This window comes from Homo sapiens, chromosome 17 (assembly GCF_000001405.40).
Source record: "Homo sapiens chromosome 17, GRCh38.p14 Primary Assembly".
NCBI lineage: Eukaryota > Metazoa > Chordata > Mammalia > Primates > Hominidae > Homo > Homo sapiens.
Window position 1 is genome coordinate 30854863 of NC_000017.11, and position 21789 is coordinate 30876651.

General features: G+C 42.2%; 1 protein-coding gene and 1 pseudogene across 11 annotated transcripts in view; both read left to right on the forward strand.

Moving 5' to 3' along the window:
• ATAD5 (ATPase family AAA domain containing 5) overlaps positions 1–21789 on the forward strand; it is a 63904-nt gene that overhangs the window by 22897 nt on the left and 19218 nt on the right. For 5 of the 11 annotated variants that reach the window (XR_001752632.3, XM_011525269.4, XM_047436782.1 and 2 more), the window contains 9 exons: positions 281–465; positions 2093–2250; positions 3299–3461; positions 5568–5750; positions 10842–10938; positions 13471–13550; positions 14386–14528; positions 14634–14784; positions 21512–21688. Coding sequence is in view for 9 of the 11 variants with exons in the window: in XM_011525269.4 (XP_011523571.1) it covers positions 281–465; positions 2093–2250; positions 3299–3461; positions 5568–5750; positions 10842–10938; positions 13471–13550; positions 14386–14528; positions 14634–14784; positions 21512–21688 (1337 nt within the window). In the remaining 2 variants the exon portion in view is untranslated. Of the gene's footprint in view, positions 1–280; positions 466–2092; positions 2251–3298; positions 3462–5567; positions 5751–10841; positions 10939–13470; positions 13551–14385; positions 14529–14633; positions 14785–21511; positions 21689–21789 lie in introns of those variants that run through there. The other 6 variants (XR_007065465.1, NM_024857.5, XM_047436784.1 and 3 more) reach the window with 4 other exon arrangements.
• RNU6-298P (RNA, U6 small nuclear 298, pseudogene) lies at positions 6981–7076 on the forward strand (annotated as a pseudogene).

Below are 21789 nucleotides of genomic sequence, written 5' to 3' on the forward strand. Positions count from 1 at the left end.
ATTCTCGTGCCTCAGCCACCCAAGTAGCTTGGATTACAGGCATTTGCCACCACACCTGGCTAATTTTTGTATTTTTAGTAGAGATGGGGTTTCACCACGTTGACCAGGCTGGTCTGGAAATCCTTGCCTTAAGTGATCCGCCCACCTCTGCCTCTCAAAGTACTTATATTACAGGCATGAGCCACCATGCCCAGCCCTAAAAATGTTTATTTTCCAGATAGTTTATTCCTTTAAATGTTTATAACCTTAGCTTTTCTTTTTCAAATCATTTTCTTAAAAGTCAAGATACATCTGAAAAATCTCAGGATTGTGATGTTCAATGTAAAGCAAAGCGTGACTTCCTAATGAGTGGTTTGCCAGATTTGTTGAAACGGCAAATTGCAAAGAAAGCTGCTGCGCTGGATGTGTACAATGCAGTGAGTACCAGTTTCCAGAGAGTCGTACATGTGCAACAAAAGGATGATGGTAAGTTTGTTTTTTATTATTGAATATTTACTCTTCAGCTGTTAGCAGGAACATTAAACTATGTAAGTTTCTTAAAGATGAGGCTGAAGTTTAATTATCATTCTTATGGTGACTTTAGTGGGAATTTTAAGGACAATTTCTCTCACTATCCATGGGGTTTGATTCCAGGACCCCCTTGTGGATACTAGCACTCATGGATGCTCAAGTTTCTTGTATAAAATGGTGTAGGCTGGGTGTGGTGTCTCATGCCTGTAATCCCAGAACTTTGAGAGGACAATGCAGGAGAAGAGCTTGAGCCCAGGAGTTCGAGACCAGCCTGGGCAACACAGCAAGATCCTGTCTCTAAACTAGCTAACTAACTTAATTAATTAATTAATTAAAATTTGCTGGGCATGACGGTGTATGCCTGTAGTCCCAGCTACTCGGGAGGCTGAGGTGGGAGGATCACTTGAGCCTAGGAGGTCAAGGCTGCAGTGAGCCATGATCATGCCACTGCATTCCAGCCTAGGTGACAGAGCGAGACCCTGTCTCAAAAAAAGAAAAAAAAAAAAAAGTTTAGCCTTTCTTCTGTACGTGGGAATTTCCCAGCTAGTCTTTTCAGTAATTTATTCTACTTTTTCTTATTTCCCATCTCTGCCACTGGCCATTCAGTTGATGAAGGCTTTCTTGTTATTTTTACTAGTACAGCTTTATATAGCATTTTCCAATAGTATGTTCAACTGTAGAAATTAGTTATGCTTTTCTTGACTCATTTTGATAAACTCATTTTCACAGGAGTGCTGCCATAAAACTTAGCATATCTATTTGTAGATGAGCAGAGAGGCAAGCACAGAGGGAACCTCTCTCTCTTACAACCTTCAGAATTATTGAACGCTTACTATTGTCTGGAATTCTGCTGAGCAATTCATATACATATCTAGTTTAATCCTGATAACAACTCTAAGAGGTTGAGTATTATAATTATCACCCTCACTTTGAATGTAAGGATGAAGAAACTAAGATTTAGGATCTCGCCAGTGCTCACAAGGTTAGTAAGTGGCAGAGGTTGGGTTTGAATCCAGGTCTAACTTGAAAGTTTAGACTTTAGACCAGGTTGCTAACTGCCTCTTAAAAGGTTTTTGTTTGTTTGTTTGTTTGTTTTGACAGAGTCTTGCTTTGTTGCCCAGGCTGGAGTGCAGTGATGAGATCTCAGCTCACTGCAACCTCTGTCTCCTGGGTTCAAGCAATTCTCTTGCCTCAGCCTCCTGAGTAGCTGGGATTGCTGGTCTCGAACTCCTGACCTCAAGTGATCCACCTGCCTTGGCCTCCCAAAGTGCTGGAATTACAGGCGTGAGCCACCACGCCTGGCCCTCCTAAAAGTTTTAACCTGAGTATCAAGGTTGATTTGAAAAGAAAGGAAAGTTTGTTAATATTTGTTTGTTTTAAACAACTGGAAGGGAAGTCTAGGTGATTTTTATTAATTCTATTTGTTGGAGGGTAGGATTTTGTTCCCTTTATAGTCATGTGGTTTTTGGTATGTTTGTGTTAATTATGTAGTTGTCAACTTTTCATGTTTACGTATTTGACATTCAGTAAATGGATAGTGTATAAATAAGGTTTATTAAGATATTTGTCTATTTTTCTTTAGGGTGTTGTTTGTGGCATTTGAAACCACCCTCTTGTCCTCTCTTAACTAAATTTAAAGAACTGAACACTAAAGTAATAGATCTCTCAAAATGTGGTATTGCTCTTGGTGAATTTTCAACATTGAATTCAAAGTTGAAAAGCGGTAACTCTGCTGCTGTGGTAAGTATTAAATAGTTCATCCATTGTAGAGTGTTTCCCTTACATCTTGCAGAGGAAAAACATTTTTGGATATCTACTCTTATAGCCTCGAGTGTTGTCCTAGAGTTTAATTTTTTTTTTTTTTGAGACAGAGTCTCCCTCTGTTGCCCAGGCTGGAGTGCAGTGGTGCAATCTTGGCTCACTGCAACCTCTGCTTCCCGAGTTCAAGCAATTCTGCCTCAGCCTCCCGAGTAGCTGGGACTACAGGCACACACCACCATGCCCGGCTAATTTTTGTATTTTTAGTAGAGACGGAATTTCTCCATGTTGGTCAGGCTGGTCTTGAACTCCCTACTTCAGGTGATTCCCCCGCCTCGGCCTCACAAAGTGCTGGGGTTACAGGCGTAAGCCACTGTACCCAGCCTAATATTTAAAAATAAATCCTAATTGTAGTACACATTTCTTTTAAATACCCATAGAGCTTTAAAAACATTTTAAGAATTAATGATTGCCAGTTCTCAAAGAATGTTAGATTACATAGCACATTTAGATACTTTATAAGTAGGTCATATAATCTAATAGATATAATTAGTTCAAAGGGAGAAAAATAAATTAATTCTTCATAAGCTTTATATTTAGTGACTAAAGCTATTTTTTTTTTTTTTTTGAGTTGGAGTCTCACCCTGTTGCCCAGGCTGGAGTACAGTGGCACGATCTCGGCTCACTGCAACCTCTGCCTCCCGGGTTCAAGCGATCCTCCTGCCTCAGCTCCCCCTAGTAGCTGGAATTACAGGCACACGCCACCATGCCCAGCAAATTTTTGTATTTTTAGTAGACACGGGGTTTTGCCATGTTGGCTAGGCTGGTCTCAAACTCCTAACTTCAGATGATCCACCTGTCTCTTGGCCTCCCAAAGTGCTGGGAATATAGGCGTGAGCCACCACGCCCGGCCTAAAGCTAATCTTACGTTGATACTGATTTATGATGGACAGAAAGTGGTTGGTAGTATTGTAATTAACATGAATAGATGATGTTGGTCTGTTATTGTGCATTTTATTCTTTATTGCAGTTCATGAGGACAAGGAAGGAATTTACTGAAGAAGTAAGAAATCTTTTGCTTGAGGAAATTAGGTGGTCAAATCCTGAATTTTCATTGAAAAAATATTTTCCCTTACTCCTAAAAAAACAAATTGAGCACCAAGTACTTTCTTCCGAGTGTCATAGTAAACAAGGTTAGTGATAATTATTATCATTTATGTTAACATACCAGTTTTGGGTTTTTATATTATTTATTATTTTATTTTTATTTCTGAGACGGAGTTTTGCTCTTGTCGCCCTGGCTGGAGTGCAGTGGCACAAACCTGGCTCACTGCAACCTCTGCTTCCTGGGTTCAAGTGATTCTCCTGCCTCAGCCTCCTGAGTAGCTGGGATTACAGGCACCCACCATGACGCCCTGCTAATTTTTGTATTTTTAGTAGAGATGGGGTTTCACCATGTTGGCCAGGCTCGTCTTGAACTCTTGATCTCAGGTGATCCATCTACCTCAGCCCCCCAAAATGCTGGGATTACAGGCATGAGCCACTGCGCTTGGCCTATTTTTTCTTTTTTTTTAGAGTGTTGCTCTGTCACCCAGGCTGGAATGCAGTGGTGCAACTTTGCCTCACTGCAACCTTCGCCTCCCGGGCTCAAGTGATTCCTGTGTCTCAGCCTCCTGAGTAGCTGGGACCACAGGCTTGCGCCACTGCACCTAGCTTATTTTATTTTTTAATTTTTACTTATTCTCTTGAGACTGGGTTATGAGACTGGCTAGTTTTTGTATTTTTGGTAGAGACCAGGTCTTGCCATGTTGCCCAGGCTGGTCTTGAACTCCTGGGCTCAAGTGATCCTTTCGCCTTAGCTTCCCAAAGTGCTGGGATTACAGGCATGAGTCACCACGCCCAGCCTAACGTGTCAGTTTTGAAAAACACTAAGACTTAACCAATGACACTTGGAAGTGTTCACCACAGACAACATTGCTTACACTTGGCAGGGAGAATTGTTCAGCTGAAGTAAAAGTATCTTGTACAATGCAATGTGCAACATTAATCCCCGCCAGTTTCCAAAAATGCCAACTCAAAGATAGCTTTAATTATGTTAAAATATTATGTACTTAAGGAATGCCTTAGATAATTTTAGCTTATATAGCTTGTATAAAAGACAGTCTAAGTATTAAAATCTCCAGCTTGCTTTCAGTATGTTATATTTGATTCTTGCCTTTTTATTTTATTTTATTTTATTTATTTTTTGAGACAGAGTCTTGCTCTGACACCCAGGCTGAAGTGCAGTGGCGCGATCTCAGCTCAGTGCAACCTCTGCCTCCCAGATTTGAGTGATTCTGGTGTCTCAGCCTGCCTAGTAGCTGAGATTGCAGGCACCTGCCACCATGCCTTTCTAATTTTTGTATTTTTTAGTAGAGATGGGGTTTCACCATGTTGGTCAGGCTGGTCTCGACCTCCTGACCTCAAGTGATTCACTCGCCTCAGCCTCCCAAATTGCTGGGATTATAGGCATGAGCCACCATACCTGGCCTATTTATTTATTTTTTAAGAGACACGGTCTCACTTTGTTGCCCAGGCTAGAATACAGTTTGTTTGTTTGTTTATTTATTTTTATTTTTTGAGACGGCGTCTTGCTCTGCCGCCCAGGCAGTGGTGTGATCTCGGCTCACTGCAGCCTCAGCCTTCTAGGTTCCACCGATTCTCCTGCTTCTGCCTCCTAGGTAGCTGAGATTACAGGCACACGCCACCATGCCTGGCTAATTTTTGTATTTTTAGTAGAGATGGGGTTTCAACATGTTGGCCAGGCTGGTCTTGAACTCCTGACCTCAGGTGATCCACCCACCTTGGCCTCCCAAAGTGCTGGGATTACAGGTGTGAGCCACCGCGCCTGGCCTATTTATTTATTTTTTAAGAGACAGGGTCTCACTTTGTCGCCCAGGCTAGAGTACAGTGGTGTTTTCATGGCTCCCTGCAGCCTCGATCTCCCGGGTTCATGTGATCCTCCCACCTCAGCCTCCCAAGTAGCTGGGACTACAGGTGCATGCCACCACCCCTGGCTGATTTTTGTATCTTTAGTAGAGATGGAGTTTCCCCATGTTACCGAGGCTGGTCTTAAACGCGTAGACTCAAGCAATCCGCTCACCTCAACCTCCCAAAGTTCTGGGATTAGAGGCCTGAGCCACTGCACCTGGATTGCCTTTGCATTTTAAAGTTACAAGACTATTGGATACTTGGAAGTGATATTAATATTACTGGTTTTTGTTGATTAGTAAGCACATGCACTTCTTTAATTCCCAAAGCAGAACTGGAGGCTGATGTCAGCCATAAAGAAACCAAAAGGAAACTCGTAGAAGCAGAAAATTCTAAGTCAAAAAGAAAGAAACCAAATGAGTATTCAAAAAATCTGGAGAAGACCAATAGGAAGTCAGAAGAACTTAGCAAAAGAAACAACTCTTCTGGGATAAAGCTAGATTCTTCCAAAGGTATATTTTCTAAAACATCCCAAAAGAAATAGATTGCTTTGAGGACATGCAAAGTGGAAACCAAAGCAGTAGAAGATTTTGATATGCTTTTTAAAAAATTTTAATTCAATTGTATTTTAATTTTAGATTTTCTTTTTCTTTTTTGAGACACAGTTTCTCTCTTGTCACCCAGGCTGGAGTGCAATGGCACGATCTTCGCTCACTGCAACGTCCCTCCACCTCCTGGGTTCAGGTGATTCTCCTGCTTCAGCCTCCCGGGTAGCTGGGATTACAGGCACCCACCTGCACGCCCAGATAATTTTTTTTTTTTTTTGAGATGGAGTCTTGCACGGTCGCCCGGGCTGGAGCCCACCATCATGCCCAGCTAACTTTTTGTATTTTTAGTAGAGACGGAATTGGCCAGGCTGGTCTCGAACTCCTGACCGCATTATTCACCCACCTCGGCCTCCCAAAGTGCTGGGATTACAGGTGTGAGCCACCGTGCCTGGCCACGCCCAGGTAATTTTTATATTTTTAGTAGAGACAGAGTTTTACCATGTTGGCCAGGCTGGTCTCAAACTCCTGACCTCAGGTGATCCACCCCCCACCCCCCTCCCCGCCCTTGGCCTCCCAAAGTGCAGATTTTGATATTCTAATAGATGATGACAGTCTGCACCAGAAATATTAACATCTTCCATTCCTGGTAAATTCGAGTTTTTCCTTCTAGTCCTAGAACTCTTTTTGTTTTTTAACTTTTCATTCTTTCTCCTTCTCTCTCTTTTTTTTTTCTTTTGCTCATTGCAACTTTCAAACAATAAATATGTGTTTGAAATAAATAGAACCTCACGGATTATGGGCTTACAAATGACCATATTAACAGATAGGTGTTCAGTCTTTGATTTTTCTGTGCTTCCATAAATACATGTGCTTTTATTTTTTTATTTTTTATTTTTTGAGACAGCATCTCTCTCCGTCGCTTGCCTGATCTCAGCTCACTGCAACCTCTGCCTCCCGGGTTCAAGTGATTCTCCTGCCTCAGCCTCCTCAGTAGCTGGGACTACAGGCGCACGCCACCACGCCCAGCTAAATTTTGTATTTTCAGTAGAGACAGGGTTTCACTGTGTGGTCCGGGCAGGTCTTGAACTCCTGACCTCAAATGATCTGCCCACTTTGGCCTCCCAAAGTGCTGGGATTACAGGCATGAGCCACTGCACCCGGCCAATATATGTGCTTTAAAAAAAATCTGGTATTGTGCTCGCTTTGGCAGCACATATACTAAAATTGGAATGATACAGAGAAAATTAGCATGGCCCCTTGTGCAAAGATGACAATTTTTTTTTTTTTTTTGGTATTTTTAGTAGAGATGGGGTTTCGCCATGTTGGCCAGGCTGGCCTCAAACTGACCTCAAGTGAAGGGATGACAATTTTAAAATTAAAAAGTAAAAAAAAAAGTAACACAGTGTCCGGGCATAGTGGCTCATAACTGTAATCCCAGCACTTTGGGAGGCCGAGGTGGGTGGATCACCTGCAGTCAGGAGTTTGAGACCAGCCTGCCAACATGGCAAAACCCTGTCTCTACTAAAAATACAAAAATTAACCAGGTGTGGTGGTGCGTGCCTGTAATCCCAGCTACTTGGGAGGCCGAGGCAGGAGAATCGCTTGAACCTGGGAGGCGGAGGCTGCAGTGAGCCAAGATCTCGCCACTGCACTCCAGCCCAGGAGACAGAGCAAGACTCCGTCTAGGGGGCAAAAAAAAAGGTAACAAAGTTGAAAAAAAAATATGGTCTTATCCCATACATACTATTTTACACCATGTTTTACATATCTCTGACATGTTCTCATTCAGTTTATTTATTTACTTTTTTTGAGACAGTTTTGCTCTTTTTGCTTAGGCTGCAGTGCCATGGCATGATCTTGGCTCATTGTTGCAACCTCTGCCTCCCGGATTCAAGCGATTCTCCTGCCTCAGCCTCCCGAGTAACTGGGATTATAGGCATGTGCCACCACGCCCGGCTAATTCTGTATTTTTAGTAGAGACTGGGTTTCTCCATGTTGGTCAGGCTGGTTTTGAACTCCCAACCTCAGGTTATCCACCCGCCTTGGCCTCCCAAAGTGCTGGGATTACAGGCATGAGCCACCGTGCCCAGCCCCATTCAGTATATATAGCTTTTCCAAAGTATGCTATTGATTTATTCATTTATATAGCTTTATACAGGATGAATATCCCTAATCCAAAAATCTGAAATTTGAAATGCTCCAAAATCCAAAACATTTTGAGTGCTGACATGGTGCCCTAAGTGGAAAATTCCATACCTGGGGCCAGGCACCATGGCTCATCCCTATAATCCCAGCACTTTGAGAGGCCGAGGTGGGAGCATTGCTTGAGCCTAGGAGTTTGAGGCCAGGCTGAGCAACACAGGGAGACCACACCTTTACCAAAAAAAAAAGAAAAAAAAATTGGCTAGGCATGGTGGCACATGCCTGTAGTCTCAGCTCCACAGGAGGCTGATGTGAGAGGATCACTTGAGGTTAAGGCTGCAGTGAGCCATGATTGCACCACTACTCCAGGCTGGGTAACAGAGCAAGACCCTGTCTCAAGAAAAAAAGAAAATTCCACATCTAACCTCTGGTCATAGTCAAAATGCCCAGGCTGGACTGTGGTAGCATGATCTGGACTCACTGCAGCCTCCACCTCCTGAGTTCAAGCGATTCTTCTGCCTCAGCCTCCTGAGTAGCTGGGATTACAGGAGCCCACCACCATGCTCGGCTACTTTATGTATTTTTTTTTTTTTTGAGACAGAGTCTCACTCTGTTGCCCATGCTGGAGTGCAGTGGCGCGATCTCGGCTCACTGCAAGCTCCGCCTCCTGGGTTCGTACCATCCTCCTGCCTCAGCTTCCTGAGTAGCTGGGACTACAGGTACATGCTGCCACGCCTGGCTAATTTTTTGTATTTTTAGTAGAGATGGGGTTTCACCGTGTTAGCCAGGATGGTCTTGATCTCCTGACCTTGTGATCCACCCTCCTCAGCCTCCGAAAATGCTGGGATTACAGGCGTGAGCCACCGCGTCCGGCTTTTTTTTTTTTTTTTTTGAGACAAAGTCTCGCTCTGTCACCCAGGTTGGAGTGTAGTGGCACAATCTCGGCTCACTGCAACCTCCACCTCCCAGGTTCAAGCTATTCTCCTGCCTCAGCCTCTTTAGTAGCTGGGACTACAGGCGTGTGCCACCACGCCTGGCTAATTTTTATATTTTTAGTAGTGACGGGGTTTCACCGTGTTGGCCAGGCTGGTCTCGAACTCCTGACCTCAAGTGATCCTCCCACCTCGGCCTCCCAAAGTGCTGGGATTACAGATGTGAACCACCGAGCCCGGCCTACTTTTTGTATTTTTAGTAGAGATGGGGTTTCACCATGTTGGCCAGGCTGGTCTCGAACTCCTGATCTCAAGTGATCTGCCCGCCTCGGCCTCCCAAAGTGCTGGGATTACAGGCATGAGCCACTGCACCCATCCCGATTATTGGTTTTATGCCACAAATTATTTCTCATCATTCATGTTTCTTCAGTGGTTATTAAAAATTTAAATATTGCTGTTTGTGGTGGCTCACATCTGTAGTCCCACCTACTCAGGAGGCTGAGGTGGGAGCTTGAGTCTGGAAGTTCAGGAATGCAGGGAGCTGTGTTTGTGCTTGTGAATAGCCACTGCAGTCCAGCCTGGGCAGCATAGCAAGACCTCATCTCTTAAAAAAAGAAAAAAACTATTTATTTTTAATTTTCAACTCAAGGGGCACATATGCAGGTTTGTTACATGGATACATTCCATGATGCTGAGATTTGGACTTCAATTGAACCTGTCACCCAAATAGTGAACATACTGCCCAATAGATAGTTTTTCAACCCTTGTCCTCACTTCTTCCCTCCTCCCTTTTGTAGTCCCCAGTGTCTTTTTTGTTGTTGTTAAGAGACAGGGTCACACTATGTTGCCCAGGCCAATCCCGATCTCTTGGGTTCAAGTGATCTACCTGCCTTGGCCTTCCAAAGTGCTGGGATTATAAGTGTGAGCCACCACATGTGGCCTCCAGTGTCTTTTGTTCCCATCTTTATGTCCATGTGTACCCAGTGTTTAGGTTCAGCTTATAAAGGAGAACATGCATTATTTGGTTTTCTGTTTCTGCATTTATTCACTTAGGATAATAGCCTCCAGCTGCAACCATGTTGCTGCAAAGGATATGATTTTTTTCTTTTTTATGGCTGCATACTATCCCATGGTGTATATATGTCCTACAAATTCTTTATCCAATCCACCATTTTTGGGCACTTAGGTTGATTCCATTTTTGCTTTTTTTTTTTTTGAGATGGACTGTCACTCTGTTGCTCAGGCTGGAGTGCAGTGGCACAATCCTGGCTCACTGCAACCTCCGTCTCCCAGGTTCAGTCTCTTTGCTGTTCTAAATATAAACATGTGAGTACATGTGTCTTTTTGGTAGAACAGTTTATTTTCCTTTGGGTATATACCCAGTAATGTGATTGCTGGGCCAGATGGTAATCCTAAAAAAAAAAAAACCAATGTTTAAGTGTGCACTTTAATTTTTTTTTTTTTTTTTGAGACGGAGTCTCGCTCTGTCGCCCAGGCTAGAGTGCAGTGGCGCGATCTCCGCTCATTGCAAGCTCCGCCTCCCGGGTTCACACCATTCTCCTGCCTCAGCCTCCCGAGTAGCTGGGACTACAGGCCCCCGCCACCACGCCCGGCTAATTTTTTGTACTTTTAGTAGAGACGGGGTTTCACCGTGTTAGCCAGGATGGTATCGATCTCCTGACCTCGTGATCCGCCCACCTCAGCCTCCCAAAGTGCTGGGATTACAGGCGTGAACCACCGCGCCTGGCTAACACTTTAATATTTTAATAAGATTATGGTGGTTATTTTTTTTTAGGGGGAAGGGTTTGGTGTGAAGAATTTTAAATGTAATGTTGTTTTAAAAGTACCTCTGGCATTTTGTAAATATAAATATTTCTGCAAATACCTACTGTGACATTGTAACAATAATGTAAATGACTAATAATTCATATATGTTTATGTCAAGGAATGAATACCTTAATTTTTTTTTTTTTTGCTTTAGATTCTGGAACTGAAGACATGCTTTGGACAGAAAAGTATCAACCTCAGACTGCCAGTGAACTTATAGGAAATGAGTTAGCTATAAAAAAGTTACATAGGTTGGTAAAATGTGTAAGGAATTGAGAAATAGTTTACAAACTTAGTTTTACTGTTTTTGTTTCGAAATTGTAGTTACAAAGTAATATATCTCATGATAAAATCTTCAAAAAACTGGTAGAAGTTTAAGTGAAAAGTAGCCCTCTTTTCTTACATTTCTACTTCTCAGAGATAATCATTGAAAATTTTTTGTAAAAGCTTCCAGAAAAATATTTTTATGCATATGTTAGTTCCTTCCTTTCTAACAAATGGGATCACATTACTACTAATTCAGGTCCCCAGTCCTTCATCTTCAATTCTCACATCCAAAAAATTCTGAATAATGAAAGTTTATTGACTTTATTACATGAAATTTGTTACACCTTTACACTTAGTAGAATTTACAAATTTTTTTTTTTTTTTTTTTTTTTTTTTTTCAAGACAGAGTCTCACTCTGTTGCCTAGGCTGGAGTGTAATGGCACGATCTTGGCTCACTACAGTCGCTGCCTCCCAGGTTCAACAGATTCTCCTGCCTCAGCCTCCTGAGTAGCTGGGACTACAGGGGTGCACCGCCATGCCAGGCTAATTTTTGTATTTTTGGTAGAGACAGTTTCGCCATGTTGGCCAGGCTGGTCTCAAACTCCTGACCTCAGGTGGTCCACCCGCCTTGGCCTCCTAAAGTGCTGGGATTACAGGTGTGAGCCACTGCACTTGGCCAGAATTCATATATTTTTTAATAAAAATATTAAGTGATGGCCCAGTGCAGTGGCTCACACCTGTAATCCCAGCACTTTGGGAAGCTGAGGCGGGCAGATCACTTGAGGCTGGGAGTTCGAGACCAGCCTGGCCAACATGGTGAAACCCCATCTCTACTAAAAATACAAAAATTAGCTGGGTGTGGTGATGCACGCCTGTAATCCTGGCTACTGGAGAGGCTGAGGCATGAGAATCGCCTGAACCCGGGAGGTGAGGATTGCAGCGAGCCGAGGTCGTGCCAGTGCACTCCAGCCTGGGCAACAGAGTAAGACTCTGTCCCAAAACAAAGCAAAAAAACAAACCAAACCAACTTAAATGATTATGGGTGTACTGCCTAGACCCCATTAGGGGTATTATGTAATATGCAGTATATGTACCAAATAACCTTTTAAGTATCTGAAAAATTAATTCTAAAACAATCTGGTCCAAAGGATTTCATATAAGGATTTACGGACCCATAATTACAGTTAATAGCGTGAACTTGGTACTACTGTTCTAAGTACTTGTATTGTTCCTTCTTTCTTTTTTTTTTTTTTACTTGTACTGTTCTTAATTCATTTTATCCTTAGAATGGTACTGTGAGCAGTGGGTACAGTGGCTCAAGCCTGTAATCCCAGTGCTTTCGTAAGCTGAGGCAGAAGGACTGCTTGTGGCCAGGAGTTTGAGAGCAGCCTGGGTGAAATAGGGAGACCCCATCTCTACAAAAAATAAAAAAAATAGCTGGGAATGATGGCGCCCACTTGGATTCTGAGCCACTCAGGAGCCTGAGGTGGGAGGGTCACATGAGTCCAAGGATTCGAGGCTGCAGTGAGCTATGATCGCACCCCTACACTCCAGTGACAAAGCAAGACTGTCTCAAAAAAAGAAAAATACTATGAGCATAAATACTGTTGTCCTCATCTCATAGATGAAGAAACCAAGGCCTAGAGAGGCTGAGTTATTTGTCCAAAGTCACACAGCTAGAAAGTGATGGAACTGGGATTTAAACTCAGGCATTCTAGCTCTAGACTAGAACTTAATCTTTCTGTTGTACATTGTATATTAGGCATCTTTCATGGAATTACACAACATACCGCAGTTCTTTTTTTTTATTTTGAAACAGGGTCTTGCTCTGTTGCCCAGGCTGGAGTGCAGTGGTTGAATCTTGGCTCACTGCAACCTTCGCCTCTCAGGCTCAAGCCATCCTCCCACCTGAGCCTCCCAAGTCGCTGGGACTACAGGTGTGCACCAACATGCCTGGCTAATGTTTTTTGTAGAGACAGGTTTCGCTGTGTTGCCCAGGCTGGTTGCAAATTCCTGGGCTGAAGCAATTCACCTGCCTCCGCCTTCCAAAGTGCTGGGATTACAGGCCTGAGCCACTGTGCCTGCCCTGCCACCTCAGTTCTTTTTAATTGCTGTATACCAGTTTCTAAGTGAGTGTACTATAATGTATTTTTCCCAATGGTGTATTTTTATGTTTTTCCTGTTAGAGGCTAATATGAACAATGCTACAGTGAATATTCTTACACATATAGTCTTGTATATTTTGGCAGAAACTACTTCATTTAAAAATGTTCATGTCCATGTAAAACTATTTTACTCTTTAGTTGATTCACAAGCACTGTGGAGTGTTTAGAAACTAACAATATGCCATATAAAGCTGTACTAGTAAAAATAACAAGAAAGCCTTCATCAGTTGAATGGCCAGTGGCAGAGAAACTAACAATATGCCATAACTTCCCCCGATAATCATTTTAACATAAAGTCTAAGGCATAGCTATATTCTGTGAATTATTTTTATTATGTTTTCTTGTGGCAGTTGGTTGAAAGACTGGAAAAGAAGAGCTGAATTGGAAGAAAGGCAGAATCTGAAGGGAAAAAGAGATGAGAAACATGAAGGTATTTTGTGTGTCTTTTTTTTTTTTTTTACCATTTCACTGAACATTTTTAGAGTTACATTAACTAAAACTTTCTATAAAATTTCTTTTTTTTTTAATTTTTTTTTTTTTTTGGAGACAGAGTCTTGCTCTGTTTCCCATAGTGGAGTGCAGTGGCGCAATCTCGGCTCACTGCTACCTCCGCCTCCCGGGTCAAGTGATTCTCATGCCTCAGCCTCCTGAGTAGCTGGGATTACAGGCGCCTGCCGCCACGCCCGACTAATTTTTGTATTTTTAGTAGAGATGGGGTTTCACCATCTTGGCCAGGCTGGTCTTGAACTCCTGACCTCGTGATCCACCCACCTTGGCCTCCCAAAGTGCTGGGATTAAGCAGTGGCATGAGCCACTGCACCTGGCCTATAAAATTTCTTAATTGGTATTTTATATTTGATTTTCTACTTTTTTTTTTTTTTTTTCACTCTGTCACCCAGGCTGGAGTGCAATGGTGTGATCTCGGCTAACTGCAACCTCCACCTCCTGGGTTCAAGTGATTCTCCCATCTCAGCCTACCGAGTACCTGGGACTACAGGCATGTGTCACCACACCTGGCTAATTTTTGTATTTTTAGTAGAGATGGGGTTTGGCCAGGCTGGTCTCGAACTCCTGACCTTGTGATCTGCCCGCCTCAGCTTCCCAAAGTGCTGGGATTACAGGCATGTGCCACTGCGTCCGGCCTGTATAAAGTAATTTTTCAGCATCTATTGCAAGAAGTTTGTGGGATTTGATCACTGGGTTTCATAAGGTAGAATTGCTTCCTCAGCAATTGTCATTTTATATGCATTTGAATAATTTTTCAGATTTCTCGGGTGGCATAGACTTTAAAGGCAGTTCAGATGATGAAGAAGAGAGTCGTCTTTGCAATACTGTCCTTATAACAGGGCCAACAGGAGTGGGAAAAACTGCTGCAGTGTATGCTTGTGCCCAGGAGCTTGGATTTAAGGTTAGTAACAGCTATGATGAGAGAATGTTAATGTAATAATTACCCTTGGATTAAAAGGAAACATAAACCATTCTCCCTTCGTTTTTTCTTATATTCTTCTTTTAGATATTTGAAGTGAATGCCTCTTCCCAGCGCAGTGGTAGACAAATTCTATCTCAGTTGAAGGAAGCTACTCAGTCCCATCAAGTAGACAAACAAGGTGTAAACTCACAAAAACCCTGTTTTTTTAATAGCTACTACATAGGCAAGTCACCAAGTAAGTAAACTATTTTCCTTAAGCCATAATGTTTTGAAAAAAATAAAATCTAAGAAAGTAATGTTAATTATCAGCATTTTGCCATTTATTTTTTATCTTCTACACGTACACGTTTCCTGCCCACCCCTGCCAGATTATTTTAAAACAAATCTGAAGACCATCATATCATTTCACCCATACCTTCTTCAATATTTATCTCTATCTGATAAGGACTTTTAAAAAAGCATAACTATAATATCGTAATCAGACCCAACAGAGTTAACAACCAGCCTAAGCAGCATAGCGAGACCTTGTCTCTACAAATAATAAAAAAAAAAAGTAGCTAGGTGTGGTGGTGTATGCCTGTAGTCCCAGCTACTCTGGAAGTTGATGTGGGAGGTTCACTTGAGCCTAGAAGGTTGAGGCTGCAGTGAGCTGTGATTGGGCCACTGCACTCCAGCCTGGGTGACAGAGTGAGATCCCATCTCCAAAAAAAAAGATCTATTAACTATATTTCTTCATATAATCTCATACACAGTCTAATGTCAATTTTCTGTTGTTTCAAATGATTTGTTCAAATCTGGATCCAAACAAGGTTCATATCTTACATTTGATTCAGTTCTCTTAACTTTCTTTTAATCTCGCTAACAATTCACTCACCTTTCTTTTCATGTCATTAATTTGTTGAAGAATCTGAGTCATTTGTCATGAAATTCTTCACATTCTGGATTTGTCTGCTGATTATATCCTCATGGTGTCAGTTAGTATAGTCCTCTTCCCTATATTTCTTGTAAACTGGCAGTTAGATCTATGGGCCTTATTAGATTCAGGTTCTGTTCTGGGTCTGGCATACATATACAGGTGGCCTGTGTACTTCCTATGACATCATAGCAGATTATCCCTTGTAGATTACAAAATGATAATTTTATAATTCTCTTTTTTGCATTTATTAGAATTTTAAAAGGAAGCACTATTCCTCATCAACTCTTTGGATGCTTTGGAATACAGTTTATAGGCACCAGAAATGCTTCATTCATTCCTTTATTTATTAGTACTTAGAGTGATGGTGTCCTAGCAACCTTGACAGTTGACCAGTGAGTTTTTGTGTAGTTTAATTTTTTAAGTATTATTATGAACTCATGGATTTTTATATATATAATATGTTTCACCTCTTTGTGTTTATTATTTCTTTGTTGCTTTGGAGATTTTCTCACTGGTTTTAAGTAATTTGATTATGATGTGCCTTGGTGTACTTCTCTTCATGTTTCTTGTGCTTGGGATTTGTTGAGTTTCTTGCATATATGAGTTTATAGTTGGGAAGATCAAAGTTGATAAAATTTCAACCAGTATTTCTTAAAATATTTTTTCTGTCCTCCCCTTTTCCTTTGGCAACTCCAGTTATTATTATAGGTATTTTAGACCACTTGAAATTGTCTCCTGGCACACTGATGCTTTGTTCAATTTTTCAGTCTTTTTCCTCTTTTTGTTTCAGTTTGGTTAGTTGTTATTACTATTCAAGTTTACACATCTTTTCTGTAGTATCTAGTATGCTGTCACTGCTATAAGTATAGTTTTCATTTCTAGAAGTTTGATTTGGGTCCTTTTTATATCTTCTGTGTTTCTACTTACCATGTGCCCAGTCTTTCCTGTAGGTTTTTGAACATATGGAATACAGTTATAACAACTGTTTTAATGGTCTTGGTTATTAATTCTATCATCTGTGTAATTTTTGTTTTTTTGAAACGGAGTCTCGCACTTGTCGCCCAGGCTGGAGTGCAGTGGCACAATCTTGGCTCGCTGCAACCTCCACCTCCCAGGTTCAAGCAATTCTCCTGCCTCAGCCTCCCGAGTAGCTGGGATTATAGGCAACCGCCACCACGCCCAGCTAATGTTTTTGTATTTTTAATAGAGACAGGGTTTGACCATATTGGCCAGGCTGGTCTCAAACTCCTGACCTCAGGTGATCCACCCCCCATGGCCTCCCAAAGTGCTGAGATTACAGGCATCAGCCACCACGCCTGGCCCATCTGTGTCATTTCTGAGTTGTTTTTTCAATTGATTGATTATTCCCTCTTTCATTATGGATTGTATTTTTCTGATTCTTTGGATGCCTGATAATTCTGATTGCATGTCAGACTTTGTAGAGTTTGCCTTCTTGGGTGCTGGATATTTATGTATTCCTGACTGTTCTTTTTTTTCTAAATTTATCAATCCTGCACTTTTTGTACCTATAACTGTTCGTTAACTTTCTTCTGTGATGTGGTTAAGTTAGTTGGGAAAAGTTTATCTTCAGGTCTTGTGTATGTGTTTGTTTTTGAGACAGTCTCAATCTGTTGCCAAGGCTGGAGTGGAGTGGCACGATTATGGTTCCCTGCCACCTCGAAGTGGGCTTGGGCAATCCCCCAACCTTAGCCTTTTGAGTAGCTAGGACTACAGACCACCGCACTCAGCTAATTAAAAGAAATTTTTTTTTGTAGAGGGGGTCTTGCTGTGTTGTCAGGCTAGTCTCAAACTCCTGGCCTCCAGCAGTCTTCCTGCCTTGGCCTCCCGTAGTGCTAGGATTACAAGTGTGAGCCGTCACCACGCCCAGCTTTTTCAGGTCTTTTAAACTGTAGTAGGCAAAAAAGTAGCAGCATTTAGTCTAGGGCTAATTTTGCCCCACTCCTTAGGCAAAACCTTTCTGAGTGCTTCAATATTCCATTAGTTATGTTTGCCAGTCTACCTGATGGGAAGACGAATCATTCACAGCTCTCTGTGAGCCTCAGAGATTGTTTCCTCTGATCTTTCACTGATGAGTACTCAATTTTAGACTTGAGAGGGACTCTGCAAATTTCCAGAGCTTTGCCCAGCTGTTTCTTCTGTATTCTTCCCCACATCTCTGTCTGCTTGGCCTCCTCAGGTTTCTTTTTCTTTTTTTTTTTCTTTTTTCTTTTTTTTTTTCTTTTTTTGAGACGGAGTCTCACACTGTTGCCTGGGCTAGAGTGCAGTGGTGCGATCTTGGTGCACTGCAAGCTCTGCCTCCCAGGTTCAAGTGATCTTCCTGCCTCAGCCTCTTAAGTAGCTGGGATTACAGGCGCTCGCCATCACGCACAGCTAATTTTTTTGTATTTTTAGTAGAGACAGGGTTTCACTATGTTGGCCAGGCTGGTCTCAAATTCCTGACCTTGTGATCTGCCCGCCTCGGTCTCCCAGAGTGCTGGGATTACAGGCATGAGCTACTGCACCCAGCCAACCTCCTCAGGTTTCTAGTGCAGTCTCAACTCAGAAAACATGGATTGACTTTCCCCTCACTATGGAAATTTTCTCAGGGCAATAGGCTGGGCAATCCTAGTGTTCACCTTATTTGTTTTTATATCTCAGAGATTACTGTCCATTGTTGCATCATGACAAAAGTCTTGAAAAGTGTTATTTCATATATTATGTCCAGTTTTCTTGTTCTTATTTATGATGGGAGGATAAATCCAGTGCCAGTTCTATACCTTGACTAGAAGCAGAATCCCATCTTATTTTCTTTTGGTGCTCATATTTTTCCATCTTTGACTAGCAAGGAACTATTTTAATTGGTTTGTGTCCTTTTGACATTACCCCAGCAATAGTTGATATTTTACTTGCTTTCTGGCATGTCAGGATGTCCCAGACCTACAGTTAGCTGTTTCTGCAAGAAGGTAGTTCTTTTGGTGTGAAATTTCTTTTTCTTTTTTTTTTTTTTTTGAGACGGAGTCTTGCTCTGTCACGAGGCTGGAGTGCAGTGGTGTGATCTTGGCTCACTGCAACCTCCGTCTCCCAGGTTCAAGTGATTCTCATGCCTCAGCCTCCTGAGTAGCTGAGACTACAGGTGTGCGCCACCATGCCTGGCTAATATTTGTGTTTTTAGTAGAGACACGGTTTCACCATGTTGGCTAGGCTGGTCTCGAACTCCTAACCTCAGGTGATCCATCTGCCTTGGATTCTTGAAGTGCTGGGATTACAGGCGTGAGCCACTGTGCCTGGCCAATTTTTTTAGAAAGAATATATTGATATAGTTTAGCCAGCTACTCACAGAGTATCTTAAAATAAAAATTGCCTTTTTTTTTTTTTTTTTGAAAAGACGGGGTCTTCCTCTGTTGCCAAGGTTGGATTGCAGTGATGCAATCATAGCTCATTGCAAACTTGAACTCCTGGGCTCAGATGATCCTCCTGCTTTAGCCTCCCAGAGTGCTGGGATTGCAGGTATGTGCCACTGCACTTGGCTAAGCATGTATTTTTAAAACCAGTCTTTGGGCCGGGTACAGTGGGTCATGCCTGTAATCCCAGCACTATGGGAGGCTGAGGCAGGTGGATCACAAGGTCAGGAGTTCAAGACCAGCCTGGCCAACATGGTGAAATGCCATCTCTACTAAAAATAGAAAAATTAGCCAGGTGTGGTGGTGCACACCTGTAATCCCAGCTACTTGGGAGACTGAGGCAGGAGAATTGCTTGAACTTGGGAGGTGGAGGTTACAGTGAGCTGAGATTGTGCCACTGCACTCCAGCCTGGGCGACAGTGTGAGACTCCGTCTCAGAAAAAATAAATAAATAAAACCAGTCTTTGGACTGGTATTCATACATGATCAAGCAGTCCTTGGTCTATATCAAAATAAGAAAAATAAGGACAAAGGCCAGGCACGGTGGCTCATGCCTGTAATCCCAGCACTTTGGGAGGCTGAGGTGGGCGGATCACGAGGTCAGGAGATTGAGACCATCCTGGCCAATATGTTGAAATCCCGTCTCTACTAAAAATACAAAAATTAGCTGGGCATGGTGGCGTGTGCTTGTAATCCCAGCTACTCGGGAGGCTGAGGCAGGAGAATTACTTGAACCCGGAAGGCAGAGGTTGCAGTGAGCTGAGATTGTGTCACTGCACTCCAGCCTGGTGACAGAGTGAGACTCCATCTCAAAAGAAACAAAAAAAAAAAAAAAAAGAGGAAAAAATGGTGTTTTTTATAAATTGATATCTGTTCAACTATTTATTTATTTATTTATTTATTTATTTATTTATTTATTTGAGATGGAGTCTTGGTCTGTCGCCCAGGCAGCAGTGCAGTGGAGCGATCTCAGCTCACTGCAACCTCCACCTCCCAGGTTCAAGTGATTCTCCTGCCTCAGCCTCCCGAGTAGCTGGGATTACAGGCACCTGCCACCATCCCCAGCTAATTTTTGTATTTTTAGTAGAGACACGGTTTCACCATGTTGGCCAGGCTGGTCTCAAACTTCTGACCTTGTGATCTGCCTGCCTTGGCCCCCCAAAGTGCTGAGATTACAGGCGTGAGCCACTGTGCCCTGCCAAATATTTTTATATTTTAAGATATTGCATCTCTTACCTGTGGTGTTGAAATGTTCTATATTTTTGAAATGATGGTCATGTCTGTGACAGCTTTTTTAACCTCGAGATTTTCAGTAAGCTTATTGAACACCTCTAATATACAAGGGCTATGATAAGATCTATGGAGATAGAGGGTAGAAAAAAAGAATAGGACACAGATATGGAACTGTGATCATGAGATGGTATGTGAGGAAGATCCTGTTCTGAGGCCATACAGTAATTAGGATTTGTAAGGACTAAATCCAGGTACCTAGAGGGGAAGAGAGGATGTATTATGTGGAAAAATGCCATGGGGCTTTTGGAGAATAGAGGTGAACTATTTATTTTTTAACTTCGTATCTATCTTCCAAAGCATCTCTAAAAATACATTTTATTGGCTTGCAATATTAATTTACTGCAGGTCTAAATTAAAGTTGAACAACAAAGTTCTGTAATGTGCTCAGTGTATACTGTTATTTTCCCTCCACCCTCTTCTTTCTTTAAGCAGGTGTAGAAAAAAATGAACAGAGGTACTGTGAACAGTATTTGTTGTAAGAATGTGTATTTCTGGCTGGGTACAGGGGCCCACGCTTGTAATCCTAGCACTTTAGGAGGCTGAGGCAGGCGGATCGCTTGAGCTCAGGAGTTTGAGACCAGCCTGGACAACATGGCAAAACCCATCTCTACTAAAAATACAAACGATTAGCCAGGCGTGGTGGTGTGCTCCTGTAGTCCCAGCTACTTGGGGGGCTGGGCAGGAGGATCACTTGAGCCTGGGAGGTGGAAACTGCAGTGAGCTGAGATCATACCACTTCACTCCAGCCTGGGTGACAAAGTGAGACCCTGACTCAAAAAAAAAAAAAAATGTGTGTTTCTTTGGAGTAGAGTGTCTTTTCTAAATGACTGGCTTGGCCGTGTGCGGTGGCTCATGCCTGTAATCCGAGCACTTTGGGAGGCCGAGGCGGGTAGATCACGAGGTCAGGAGATCGAGACCATCCTGGCTAACACGGTGAAACCCCGTCTCTACTAAATATACAAAAAATTAGCTGGGCGTGGTGGCGAGTGCCTGTAGTCCCAGCTACTCGGGAGGCTGAGGCAGGAGAATGGCGTGAACCCAGGAGGTGGAGCTTGTAGTGAGCCGAGATCATGCCACTGCACTCCAGCCTGGGCGACGGAGCGAGACCCTGTCTCAAAAAAATAAAATAAAATAAAATAAAATAAATAAATGACTGGCTTAACCTTCTGTACTGGTAGAATAAATAAATATAGTAATATTTGGATGTACATAGTATTTTTAAGAATGAAAGAAAATTTCTGTGTCTTTGATTTTTAACTGTTAAGAGTAGAAATACAGAATGTGGCTAACTGTCTTGCTACCTGTATGATTTTTAGAATATTTATCTTTAAGTGCAATTTGTTTTTGGGCAGAAAAAATAAGCTCCCCTAAGAAAGTTGTTACATCACCAAGAAAAGTTCCTCCACCATCACCAAAAAGTAGTGGACCAAAGCGAGCACTTCCTCCCAAAACCTTGGCAAATTATTTTAAAGTATCTCCCAAACCTAAAAATAATGAAGAAATAGGAATGCTTCTGGAAAATAATAAAGGTAAGACATTAAATTGACAAATTTTATATTTTTTAATAATAATGACCCTTATACCTAAAAATGTGAGCACATTTTACGAGTTCCTGTTGCTATTTATTAAA